The sequence below is a fragment of the Homo sapiens genome, chromosome 20 (assembly GCF_000001405.40).
Source record: "Homo sapiens chromosome 20, GRCh38.p14 Primary Assembly".
Taxonomy (NCBI): domain Eukaryota; kingdom Metazoa; phylum Chordata; class Mammalia; order Primates; family Hominidae; genus Homo; species Homo sapiens.
Window position 1 is genome coordinate 32,546,224 of NC_000020.11, and position 14,182 is coordinate 32,560,405.

The following is a 14,182-nucleotide window of genomic DNA, read 5'->3' on the forward strand; positions in this document are numbered from 1 at the left end:
GCGTGAGCCAGTGCGCCCAGCTTTTTTTTCCTTTTTTTGGCGAGGGGATGGAGTTTTGCTCGTTACTCAGGCTGGAGTGCAATGGCGCGATCTCAGCTCACCACAACCTCCGCCTCCTAGGTTCAAGTGATTCTCCTTTCTCAGCCTCCTTTTACAGTCATGCACCACGACGCCCAGCTAATTTTGTATTTTTAGTAGAGACAGGGTTTCTCCATGTTTTTATTTATTTATTTTTTGAGATGGAGTTTCATTCTTGTTGCCTAGGCTGGAATGCAATGGCATGATCTCAGCTCACAGCAACCTCCAGCTCCTAGGTTCAAGCAATTCTCCTGCCTCAGCCTCCCAAGGGGATTACAGGCATTTGCCACCATCCCTGGCTAATTTTGTATTTTTAGTAGAGACAGAGTTTCTCCATGATCAGGCTGGTCTCAAACTCCCGAACTCAGGTGATCCACCCGGCTCAGCCTCCCAAAGTGCTGGGATTACAGGTGTGAGCCACTGCGCCCGGCAAGGCTGTAATTCTAATTCCCTTCTGGCCTGGGCAAGACATAGGTGGGACACAGGAGAGAGCATGGGTGTTGGAGGCAATGGCAGTCTTGACTTTCAACTCCTTGGGTCAGGAGCTCCCTGTGATGGAGGCTGTCTTGTTCACCACTGCATCCCCAGTATCTGCCAGAGCTGACCACAAAGTAGGTGCCCAGGAAACGTGTACTGAAAGAATAAGTGATGAATGAGTCCTCCTGGTCCTCCAGAGGGACCTTGGGCATTCACTAACTTTCAGAGGGGCTTGATTTTCCCATCTGAGAAACAGGCAGGACAATCTGATGCCACTGCCTTCCTTCTCTGTAACAACAAACATTTACCATGTGCTTACTGTGTGCCTCACCCTGCTCTAAGTGCTTTACATATATCAACTCACTGACTCTTCACTCCAGCCCCAGGAGGTTGGGACAACTCTCTTTTATGGGGGAGAAAACTGCGGCCCAGAGAAGAAAGTGACACACATGCCCAATGTCACACAGCACAAAGCACCTGAGCTAGAGACCAGCCCGGGCAGCCTGGCCCCAGAACTCTCATTCTTTTTTGAGAGAGGATCCCATTCTGTCACCCAGGCCAGAGGGAAGTGGCTCAATCATGACTCACTGCAGCCTCAACCTTCCACGCTCAAGGGATCCTCCCACCTCAGCCTCCCAAGTAGCTGGACTACAGGCACAAGCCACCATGCCCAGCTAATTTTTGTATTTTTTTGTACAGACAGGTTTTCACCATGTTGCCCAGGCTGGTCTTGAACTCCTGGGCTCAAGTCATTCTCCCACCTCAGACTCCCATAGTTCAGGGATTACAGGCATGAGCCACCATGCCTGGCTTTCTCATTCTTAAACACTGTCCTAGGCTGTCCCTCAGTAAGAAAGGAGGTTTGGGAAGCCTGCCCCAAGGAAGCACCCAAGTTGCAGGTGGGGACATGCTGGGCAGGACTGCAAGCTCAACAATCCTTCTGTGGCTCTGTACTGCCTGTCAAATGCCATCCCAAAACTCATGCCTGGATTTGAGGCCCCTGGAAGCAGCTCCAGCCATGTCTCCTCCTCCCAGAGGTCCCAGCACAAACCTGACATTCCAGCCTCCCTGGCTGCTTCTCCTCCCATGAGCTCTGGGGCAATCGTGCCTCTGTGCCTGGACACACACTGTCCCCTCTGCCCACAACTGGGTGCCCACAACTGGGTGGTTTCATTCAAATGTCCTCTCTCTCCCCAGGAATCCTTCCCTGACCTTCCCCCAACCCCCAACCCAACATGTCTCTTGCCTTCAATTTCCTGTAACACTTTGCCAACAAGGACAATAATAGCCAATGTGTATTAAACACTCCTGATGTACCAGTAGGTACTATTGTCAATACCGTTTTACAGATGAGGAAACTTAGGCACTGAGAGGAGAAGCAAGTTGCCCAAAGACAGGTGGGATGGAGTCAGGATTGAACCTACATTTGCCTGACAAATTGCAAAGCTAGACCTCTAAGCCCCTAAACCAGACCACATCTCACTGGCAGGCATACAACAGATGCTCATTCAAGATTCCCTAGTAACTGACTGCCTTGGGCTTCCACACTTAATTGCCTTTTGCACACTTAAGTATGATCTCAGAGATTCTCCAGGCATCACCTGCTGAATTTGCATTTTTCTGGTAGTTATTTCAGAAGTGGGCGGAGACACTCTCAAGGCATGGGGGCCAAATCAAATGGTGAAAAATAAACAGGATCAGAAGTCGGATAGATCATGTGAACTGAGATCTCTGTAAAGTGGGGATTTTAATTCTGATCTTCAGGGTCATTACGAGGGGATGCACAGTGCCAGCATACACTGAATGCTCAATATACAGTAACCTCGGTCATCACACGAATGGCTCACGTTCTAGACATTATTGCCGGGAGTGAAAATTGGTTCCCTGTCTGTGGAGGGCAGTCTGTATCATCTCCAAAAGCACATGCCCTCAGACGCAGCAATTCAACTCCTTGGTATAAACTCGCCCATGCTTGAAATGGCCATCCATATTCAGGGATGTTCACTGAAGTCTTGCGAGAGCAGAATATCATAAACAATCCAAATGTCCATTAACAGGGGACTGGATAAGTAAATTATGGTACATCCATAAAATTGAATACTACACAGCTGTAAAAAAGAAGGAGAAAGTTCTTTATGTTCTAACATACTTATGCACTGACAGCATACAGATTTACTGTTTAGTGGGAAAAACAACCTGAAGAATGTAAGAGCTAAAACTATAAAACTCTTAGAAGAAAACACAGGGATAAATCTTTGTGACCCCGGATTAGGCAATGACTTCTTAGATATGACACCAAAAGTTCAAGCAACAGAAGAAAAATTAGACAAATTGCACTTAATTAAAATTAAAAACATTAATGCTACAATGGACACCATCAAGAAAGCAAAAAGACAACTCACAGACTGGGGTAAAATATTTGCAAACCATGTATCTGATAAGGGACTTGTATCTAGAATACAGAAAAGATTCTTAAAACTCAATGGTAAAATGACAAGTAATACAATTTTTTTAACGGGCAAGGATCTGAATAGATATTTCTTCAATAGAGATATACAAATGGCCAATAAGCACATGAAAAGATACTCAACATCATCGGCCATCAGGGAAATGCAAATCAAAACCATGGTGAGATGTCACTTCACACCCACTAGGATGGCTCTAATCAAAAAGACAGCCAATAACAAGTTCTGGCCAGGCATGGTGGCTCATGCCTGTGATCCTAGCACTTTGAGAGGCCGAGGCAGGTGGGCAACTTGAGGTCAGGAGTTCAAGACCAGCCTGGCCAACATGGTGAAACCCTGTCTCTACTAAAAATACAAAAATTAGCCGGGAGTGATTGCCCGCTACTGTAATCCCAGCTACTCAGGAGGCTGAGGCAGGAGAATCACTTGAACCAGGGAGGCAGAGATTGCAGTGAGCCGAGATCGCGCCATTGCACTCTAGCCTGGCGACAGAGCAAGACTCAGTCTCAAAAATAAATAAATAAATAAATAACAAGTTTTGGCAAAAATGTAGAGAAATTGCAACCCTCATGCACTGCTGGTGGGAATGTAAAATGATGTACTGATTTGGAAAACAGGTAGTTCCTCAAAAGGTTAAACATAGAGTTACCATATGACTTACCACTCCTACATGGAAGAGAATAAAAAGCAGAGGTGAACACAAAAACTTGTACATGACTGTTCATAGCAACATGATTCAAAATAGCCAAAATGTGGAAACAACACAAATGTCCATCAACTGTTGAATAAATAAATAACATGTGGTATGTCCATTCAATGGAATATTATCAGCAATAAAAAGGAATGAAGTACAGTCAGGTGTCAATGATGGGACAGGTTCTGAGAAATGCATCATTAGGTGATTGCATCGTTGTGCGAACATCATAGAGTGTATCTACACAATCCTAGATGACACAGCCTATTATTGTACTGAATACTGTAGACTATTGTAACACAATGATATTTGATTTTTTGTTTTTTTGAGGCAGAGTCTCACTCTGTCGCCCAGGCTGGAGTGCAATGGTGCGATCTCAGCTCACTGCAACCTCTGCCTCCCAGGTTCAAGCGATTCTCCGGCCTCGGCCTCCCGAGTAGCTGGGCCACTGCACCCGGCCAATATTTGTATATCTAAACATATCTAAGCATACAAAAGGTACAGTAAACAATAATACAGTATTATAGGTCAGGCGTGGTGGCTCACGCCTATAATCTCAGAACTTTGGGAGGGCGAGGCGAGCTGATCACTTGAGGTCAGGAGTTCAAGACCAGCCTGGTCAACATGGTGAAACTTCGTCTCTACTAAAAATACAAAAAAGTGGCCGGGCGCAGTGGCTCACGCCTATAATCCCAACACTTTGGGAGGCTGAGGTGGGCAGATCATGAGGTCAGGAGTTGGAGACCAGACTGACCATCATGGTGAAACCCCGTCTCTACTAAAAATACAAAAATTAGCCAGGTGTGGTGGCGTGTGCCTGTAATCCCAGCTACTCAGGAGGCTGAGGCAGGAGAATCGCTTGAACCCAGGAGGCAGAGGTTGCAGTGAGCCAAGATCATGCCACCACTGCACTCCAGCCTGGGCGACAGGGTGAGACTCCATCTCAAAAAAAAGAAAAAAAAATACAAAAAAGTTAGGCGTGGTGGTGGGTGCCTGTAATCCCAGCTACTCGGGAGGCTGAGACAGAAGAATTACTTGAACACAGGATGCAGAGGTTGCAGTGAGACCAGATTGTGCCACTGCACTCTAGCCTGGGAGACAGAGCAAGACTCCATCTCAAAAAATAATAATAATAATACAGTATTATAATAATTTAGGCTAGGCACGGTGGCTCATGCCTGTAATCTCGGCACTTTGGGAGGCCAAGGTAGGTGGATCACCTGCGGTCACGAGTTCGAGACCAGCCTGGCCAACATAGTGAAACCCCATTTCTACTAAAAATACAAAAATTAGCCGGGCGTGATGGTGGGTGCCTATAGTCCCAGCTACTTTGGAGGCCAAGGCTGGAGAATCACTTGAACCCAGGAGGCGGAGGTTGCAGTGAGCCAAGATCATGCCACTGCACTCCAGCCTGGACGACAGCGTGAGACTCGGTCTCAAAATCATCATCATCATCATCATCATCATCATCATCATCGTGAGCATCATCCTCATCTCATGGGACCACTGTCATATATGTGGTCCATTGTTGACCAAAATGTCTTTAAGTGGTGCATGACTGTACTGATACATGCTACAACATGGATGAACCCCGAAAACGTAAGTAAAAGAAATCCATTACAAAAGACCACGTATTGTATGATTCCACTTATAGGAAATGTCCAGAAAAGGCCAATCTAAAGAGACAGAAAGCACAGTAGTGGTTGTCTCCCTACCTGGGGGAGGGGGTCAAGAGGAAATGAGGAGTGAGGGGTATGGGGGGTTTCTGGGGATGACGCAAATGTTCTAAAATTGATTGTGGCAATGGTTGCACATCTCTGAATATATGATACTGAAAGTCACTTAACTGTATTTATTATTTTTTTTTTAGGGACAAGGTCTCACTCTGTTTCCCAGGCTGGAATGCAGTGGTGTAATCATAACTCCCTGCAGCCTTGAACTCCTGGGCTCAAGTGATCCTCCCACCTCAGCCTCCAGAGTAGCTGGGGCTGTGGGTACACACCACCATGCCCAGCTAATTTTTTAAATGTTTTGTAGAGACAGGGTCTGGCTATATTGCACAGGCTGGTCTTGAACTCCTGGGCTCAAGTGATCCTCCTGCCTTCGCCTCCCAAAGTGCTAGATTACAGGTATGAGCTACTATGCTCAGCCTGAATCATATTTTAAATGGGTGAATTGTGTGGCATGTGAATTATATCTCAAAAAAATGCTATTATATTAAAAAAAGCAACCTATGGAACAATGTACAACATATTTTGTGTAAAACTAGAAACAAAACCCAGAAATAGATATGCATATGTGCATATATATGTATAAAATATCTCTGAAAGGATACCCAAGAAATAACAGTGATTTCGCCCGGGGAGAGGAACAGGGTGACTGGCAGGCAGGGCCAGAAAGGGGACTTTTTCTTTTTAACAGTCTACGGGTACTTGATTAATTTTTTTTTTTTTAATAATGAAATTCTGGCAGTGCGCGGTAGCTCATGCCTATAATCCCAACACTTTGGGAGGCCAAGGCGGGCGGATGACCTGAGGTCAGGGGTTCAAGACCAGCCTAGCCAACATGGCGAAACTCTGTCTCTACTAAAAGTACAACAATTAGCCAGGCATGGTGGTGGACGCCTGTAATCCCAGCTACTTGGGAGGCTGAGGCAGGAGAATCACTTGAACCTGGGAGGCGGAGGTTGCAGTGAGCCAAGATCATGCCACTGCACTCCAGCCTGGGCGACAAGAGAGAGACTCCGTCTCAAAACAAAACAAAACAAAACAACACCTTTTTCTGGCTGGGCACAGTGGCTCACGCCTGTAATCCCAGCACTTTGGGAGGCCAAGACGGGCAGATTGCCTGAGGTCAGGAGTTCGAGACCAGCCTGGCCAACATGGTGAAACCCAGTCTCTACTGAAATATACAAAAATTAGCCGGGCATGGTGGCGCATGCCTGTAATCCCAACTACTTGGGAGGCTGAGGCAGGGGAATCGCTTGAATCTGGGGGCGGAGGCTGCAGGAAGCTAAGATTACTCACTGGCCCTCAGCCAGAGGATGAGCTTGGTTGGTGGCTCTGAGAGCATAGGAGATCCCCTGAGGAATCCTACTTTACAGTGTGCCAAGCCTGCTCACAACCGTCCTCAGATTCCTCACACAGGCCCTGCCAGAAGGTTTCAGCACCGCCCCATTTCCACCAGCAAATCCTGTGGCGCGCCCTTCAAAACAGGCCTAGAATCGGCTCACTTCTCACCCCACCATGGGCACCATTCTGGTCCAGGCCACCAGCCTTTCTCCCTGGTTCACCTGGATCACTGCAGCAGCCTCCTCCCAGCTTCCACCCTCACCCCCAACCCCAGTCTGTAACCCACACAGATCTGTGCTCACCTCTCACCACTCACCCCCACACCCAGGGCTCCAGCCCACTCCACTGGCCTTCTCCTGGCGCTACTCACCAGGCACTTCCTGCCGCAGGGCCTTTGCACTTGTCCTTTTCTCTTCCTGGAATCCTCTCCCACCAGATCCCCACATGGATGTTCTCTCACCTCCAGTGGGTCTCTGCTCCCATGTCTCCTTGGGAACAGGAGGCCTCCCCACACCTATCTCAAGCAGCAGCCCCCAGCCCTAGCCCCATTCTCTGCTTTATTTTTCTATATATTTAACATTTACATTTAGGGTTCATGGTCTGTCTCCCCACCCCCAAACATACAGGCTCCGTGGAAGATGGGATTCTGTTTCTTTCTCTAGCACCAAGAACAGATCAATGCACGTTGTAGGTGCTCAGAAATATTTGTCAAAATAAAACTGGGTCTTATGAAACTGTCACAGACCAGAGGAGGTTAAGGAGACATGACAGCTAAATGTAACGTAGTATTGTGGTTGGATCCTGGGACAGAAAATTTACATTAGGGAAAAACTAGTGAAATAAAAAGAAGTATGAGTTAATAGTGACGTGCCTGGATGGGTTCCTTAGTAACATCAAATGTTAACCACAGGGGAAAGTGGGTAAGGAGTAGACAGGAACTCTCTGGACTATCTTTGCAACTTTGTAACTGTAAATCTAAACTGACCCTACAATAAACCATTTGCTGAAATGTTAAGAATGTATTGGATGTGGCCAGGCGCGGTGGCTCACACCTGTAATCCCAGCACTTTGGGAGGCCAAGGCGGGCGGATCACAAGGTCAGGAGATCGAGACCATCCTGGCTAACAGGGTGAAACCCCGTCTCTACTAAAAAATACAAAAAATTAGCCGGGCGTGGTGGCAGGTGCCTGTAGTCCCAGCTACTCGGGAGGCTGAGGCAGGAGAATGGCATGAACCCGGAAGGCAGAGCTTGCAGTGAGCCGAGATCGCGCCACTGCACTCCAGCCTGGGCGACAGAGTGAGACTCTGCCTCAAAAAAAAAAAAAAAAAAAAAAGGAATGTATTGGATGTAAGTGCAAATGAACAAACAGGCTCAGAGGTGAAGGCGCTTGTCACAGGCTGCACAGCCAAACAGAAAGTGGCTCATGGGCAGAGAGACCCAGCAAACACCTCCCCAAGAGAAGGAGGCCCCTGTCACTGAAGATCCATTTCTTTTGCAATAAAGGACAATGTTGTGTGGGGGGAGGGTGGAGCTTTCCTTCCCAAATATCATAGGAGGCTCAGATGCTTCATTGAGGATCCACCCCTGGTCCTGTATCACTCAGAAGCAGGCACCCTCTCCTGGGAAACCCCCCAGGAAATCCTCCTTTTCTCCTTGCCTCCCAGGAGGCCCAGAGGGCCTTGATGAGTCACAATACTGTTTGTCAAGAGTCATTGGCTCTGGAGCTCAGGATTTCAAGCCAGGTCATCCAAATCAGGGTAGGGGACAAGGAAGGGGCTAGGGAGACCAAAGGTGGTCCAGGAAGGGAGGAGAAAGGGACAACTAATTCATCTTGAGCACCTACTAGGAGCTGGCATGGGGCAAGACATTTTAGAAGTATGTGACCACATTCCAGCTCCCAGCCCCAAAAGGCTAACTTTGATTACTCCTGTTTCCCCAATGAGGAAACCAAGGACTGGAAATGGATCCAGTAACAAAGCAATGGAGCAGCCAAACTGGGATGTGGCCTCCTTGGCCTCCTCTTGAACCCCACTCTGTGGCCTCCCTGTACCCTGACCATGCTGGCTTCCCCCAGCTACATCTGCACCATGTGCCCCCTCTCAGCACCTGGCCTCTGCCCAGGCTGCTCCCTCTGCCTGAAACACCCTTTCTTTCCTGGTGTTACGTTAACTTCTACTTGATCTTCAGGCCTCAGCTCGAGTGTTACTGTCTGTTACGGCCTGAATTGTGCCCCCTCCAATTCATATGTTGAAGTCCTGACCCCTGTTAATGTGACTGTATTTGTGGATAGGACCTTTTTAAAAATTTTTAAATTTCTTCTGAGAGCAAGTTTTGCTCTATTGCACAGGCTGGAGTGCAGTGCTCACTGCAGCCTCCATTTTCTGAGCTCAGGTGATTCTCCTGCATCAGTCTCCCAAGTAGCTGGGACTACAGGCATGTAACACCATGCCTGGCTAATTTTTTTTTTTCATAGAGATGAGGTCTCACTATGTTGCCCAGGATGGTCTCAACCCCCTGGGTTCCAGCAATTCTCCTGCCTCAGAGTCCCAAAGTGCTAGGATGTCACAGGAGTGATAATGCACCTGGCCAAGACAGGACCTTTCAAGAGGTGACTAAGTTAAATGAGGTCCTTAGTGTGGGCCGCACTCTAATAGGAATGATGTCTTCCCAAGAAGAGAAGATTAGGATACAGACGTTCACAGAGAGACCATGAGAAGACACGGAGAGAAGTGACTGTCCACAAGCCAAGAAGAGAAGCCCCAGAAGAAATCAACCCTGCTGACACCTTGATTTTGAACTTCCAGCCGCCAGAGCTGTGAGAATGTCAGTGGTTTAAGCCACCAGTCTGTTACTCTGTCACGGCAGCCCCAGCAGACTCATTAGGTGGCCTCCGAGAAGCCCTCCCTGACCCTCCAGACCCAAGCTGAGACCCTGTGAATGCTCTTTCCTTCACGGCGCCTCTCATGACCACAGTATTCTGCGTATTTCTGTGATCATTTGGTTAATGGCTGTGTCCTCCATAGATGGTGACAATCACAAGGGCACAGACGGGGTCTGCCTTGGTCTCTGCACAGTGCCAGGTGCATAGTAGGCCCCCCCTAAATACATGCGGAGTGAGATGAGAAGGGAAGAGCCAGAGAGGCTCTGCGGCCTCGGGAGCTCTCCTGCCTCCCTCTGTGTCTCTATTCCCCGACCAAAACAGCACCACCAAGGCTTCTGGAACTTTTGAACTTCAATCCTCTTCTTCAGCAAATATTTCCTTTGTGGGGGGGGGGGGTTTCCCTGGAGCCCCTCAGCTCTGTCAGGCTCAGTTTTGTCCAGCAACTTTAAATCAAATCCTTGCTGAAAAATGTGAAACTCATTCCTGAAGTCAGCAAAAGACAAGGTGCCTCGTCCTCTGCTACTTGTCTCTGTCCCTCCTTGAACCCTGTTCTTCCTGATCCCCCATTCCAGCCCTGCCCAAATCCTGCCAGCTATTAAGGGCTACACTCCAAATTTCCCTTCTCCAAAAGCTCATCCCCGGGGGCCCAGAGACTAGAAGCGGAGGCTCAGAAAGGGAGAGAGAGTGGCCCAAAGTCACACAGCCGAGCAGAGGCTGGTCCATCTGTGAATCTCAACTCTGGCCTGGTCCCATCTCCAGGCATATCAGCGAAGGCATCTGGTGACACAAGTGTCCTCAGCCCCAGGGGAAACTGCTCTACCTCCTCCATTCATTCCACTGGGCAGGTCGGGTCTGAGCCGAGGTGGGCCTGGCAGAGGTCCTGGGCCTCTGCCACTGAGAGCACGTGACCTGCCCAAGGCCACACAACCGGTTAACAGTGGAGCCAGAGCTGGACGTGCCGGAGCCACAGTGCCTCGCCACACGGCCACCTTGCTCCTTCTGCACCAGCGACGTGACTATGCAGGAGGCAGCTTGTGTGATATTGATCGAGCTCCTGATGCAAAGCAGGGTGGGAAATCCTAGGAATCAGGTAGACCCGATTTTAAATCCAGCCATGTGATTGTGATCTCAGCCAAGGAACTCCGTCTCCTTAGGACTTTTCTGCAGCTGTTACAGGGGGTTCTACCTGGTGGGGATATGTGTGGGTTGAAACAACGTTTGTGAAACCCGTAACACAGAGCCTATCCACTACATAAAGCAGGGTCAAACTGCTGAGCTCATTGCATAAAGTGGGGTCCACCCTCACGCATCCCTGCCCTGGCCACGAAGCAGCCTCCCCGCTACCGTCCTGCCCTTGCAGTCCCATTGCCCCTGGAGTCCCATTGATTTGAGTCCCAGCACCAAGCCTCCTTATCACTTGCATTGTGATGGTGCTGCAAGTGCTCATTGTAGCTAATTAGAACTTTCTCAACATCTCCTTGGTCCCTATTTACTGCTTATACAGAAGAGACGCTCTGAAGGCAGAAGCCTCCTTGGCCTCCTGTGCAGCAAAGTCAGAGCAGCCCCAGCCAGCCTCTCCAAGTCTCCTCGGTTGGGCATGCCCAGTGCTCCAGCAGGCAGAGGATGGCGGAGGGCTCTACCCACTGCCAAGCTCTGCAACCTCATGCAAGCCGTTAATGGTGGGCAGGGGGCAAACTCAGACAATGACTAGTTCCTCCTAGCGCTAAAAATGAATTTTGCACACCAGCTTTTGCCTACACATGCATCAAATATCTCTGCAAGGACAGGCAAGAAACCAGTCACAGGGGAACCTTCTGGAAAGGAAGCTGAATGGCTGGGGGAAAGAAAAAGTTTGTATTTTTAAACTTTTGCATTTTAAATAATGTGAACACAGCCAGGCGCGGTGGCTCATGCCTGTAATCCCAGCACTTTGGGAAGCTGAGGCAGGTGGATCACTTGAGCTCAGGAGTTTGAGACCAGCATGGGCAACATAGTGAAACCTTGTTTCTACAAAAAATATAAAAAGTAGCCAGGCATGGTGGCACCCACCTGTAATCCCAGCTACTTGGGAGGATCACTTGAGCCTGGGGAGGTGGAGGCTGCAGTGAGCTGTGATCATGCCACTGAACCCCAGCCTGGGTGACAGAATGAAACCGTGTCTCAATGTAACAGTAATAATGTGAATGCACTGATATTTAAACAAAGTTGAAATTAAAAATAATAAAATCTAGATTTCAAGTGAAGGGATTAAAATCCCCAGCTTCCCGAGTTTGCACGACCTCTCCTAAGGGATTCCCAGTGCCACTGCCCTGTGTCATTGCTGCTGACAACTGACAACTGGCCACAGAGGAGCTTGGCTAAAAGTGGGAGCCCAGGAAGGGTCACTTCAACTTATGGGCCTCAGTTCCTCCTCACGATCAAGAGAGCTGCTGAAATCCGCATCGTAATCTAACCCTGATTTGCTGGTCTCTTCTTTTGATCAGATCTGGGGAGGGCATGAAACATTCCGTCATGGGAGCCCCAGGGTGTGTGTAGGGGGGCAAGCTCACAAAAGTCCAAGGGGCCCCAGCACCCTGAATGAGACTATTGAGGGCATCACCGCTGAAGCCCTCTTGTTTTACCAATGAAGAAACTGACTCACGGTTCTGGAAAGGGACTGTATGCTGAGATCACACAGCCGGCTGGGTACACGGCCGCCCCACCACCCCACACCACTCATCCCCTGACAGCCGTAACGGAGGATTCCAGCTGCACCAGCAGGTGGAGGATCTGGCCTGGCTGTGGCCCTTTCCTCTGACTGGTGGGGCCAGAGGGTCAGCGGTGCTGGGCCTGGCCGGGCCTTGCAGGCTGTGGTATGGAGTCTGGTCTTTGTCCTAAGAGCCCCTGGGGAGCCCCTGAAGGGTTTTAGGCTAGGAACTGATGATGTGTGATTTACGTTTCGGAAGATCGCTCTGGCTGCTGGATGGAGAGAGGGAGCCAGCAGGCCAAAGCAAGAGCCACTGCAGCCTGGACCGGAGCAGGGGCAGCGGAGGGGCCGCCGAGAACCAGTGCAAGGGAAGGTGAGCCGATTGCAGATGGAAAAAGTATATTCCTCCTTGGATAGTGTGTCCCGTATCTCCAGATGTGTAAACTGAGGCCAGATCACATGATGGGGCTGTTGTAGAAGAGAGCTGTAGTGTGGCCGCAATGCCCAAGATTCCAGATCACCTCCTCCAGGAAGCCTTCCCTGGCCCCCAGGCATCCCCCACGGGACTACCCTGGGTCATAATCATCGGGTTCTGGATTTCTGTCCTTCCCTATCATGAAGGCAGGGGCCACTGCTTTCCTCTCTGGACTCCCAGTGCTCAGCAAACAGCCTGGCACGTAGTAGGACCTCATACCTCACCTCCCTTCCCTTTCCTTTTCCTTCTATCCCCACACCCCTGCCTCAGGTCTTGCATCCAGGTATCCCCAAAGCCCAGCCTAGATGCTGGCACATAGTAGGTACTCAGCAGATATTTCTTGAATTGGATTCTCTTCAGGTCAGAGTCTAACACACAGTAGGAACTCGATAAACATTCAGCCCTTTCTCCTCAAGGGCAGAGTCAATGACAAATTGCCCAGAGTTACTGGGAGCTCTCTTTGTTCCCGGCACTGCTCGGAGCACTTGAGGTAGGAATGTTATTACGTTCATTTTGCAGATCAGCAAATGGAGGCCTACACAGGGGAGGGAATTTGCTTGGGCCACACAGCTGTCAAATAGCGGAGCAGGGATTGGAACCCAGGCCCCCAGGCGCCAGGACTGGAATGCATGGCCTAGTTCTGAGGGCCCAGTGGCTGCCACTGTTCCTGGCACTTAGTAGGTACTGAGGTTTGTCTGTAACGGGCCCCAGAAGGACACAGTCACCTCCGAGCTGGCTGCCGCCCTCCTCCCAGGCGTGGGCATCCCTCTCGCCTGAGTGGGCCAAGCTGTCCCAAGGGACCACGGCCAGCCCAGGCCTGCCCAGGCCCTGCCGCCCACGCGGCCTCCCTGAGCCGCCAGCAGGCCAGCAGTGTGGCCTGCCCTGGGAGACCAAGCCTCCCTCTGCCTCCAGGGTGGCCCAGACAAAGGCGGCGGTGTGCCCGGCCCCCTGGCACTCGGGCTGCCTTCTTGTCCTCCTCCTCCTCTTGCTCCAGGGCACTCGCAGAGGTTCTTTTCACAAAGGAGCTGGAGGATGGGGGGCAGGGCTGGGCAGCCCCAAGGCAGGGGAAGGGAGCACTGGTGAGGCCACGCCCTGCCAGGCCTGACTCCTCTCCCAGCCCCGTCACACAGGCACCCAGTGGGCACCAATCGTGGCCTGCTGAATAATGACCATTCTGAGTACTGAGTGTGGCCAGGGTGGGGCCCTGGCACACGTGGACACCACTAATCCTCCCGACAAGAGATGGGGTTTCACACTTAGGCTGAGGAGGGGAGCGTGTCAAGGGAGCTATTATTTCCCCAGTGTAGTCAAGAGGAAACTGAGGCTCAGAGAGGCCGAGCCACCTGTCTAAGGT

At 50.1% G+C, this 14,182-nt stretch overlaps 1 protein-coding gene across 1 annotated transcript in view; it reads right to left on the reverse strand.

Annotated features, from left to right (window-relative positions):
* The window catches only part of NOL4L (nucleolar protein 4 like), a 142,275-nt gene that overhangs the window by 103,165 nt on the left and 24,928 nt on the right, over positions 1-14,182 (reverse strand). The window lies entirely within an intron of this gene.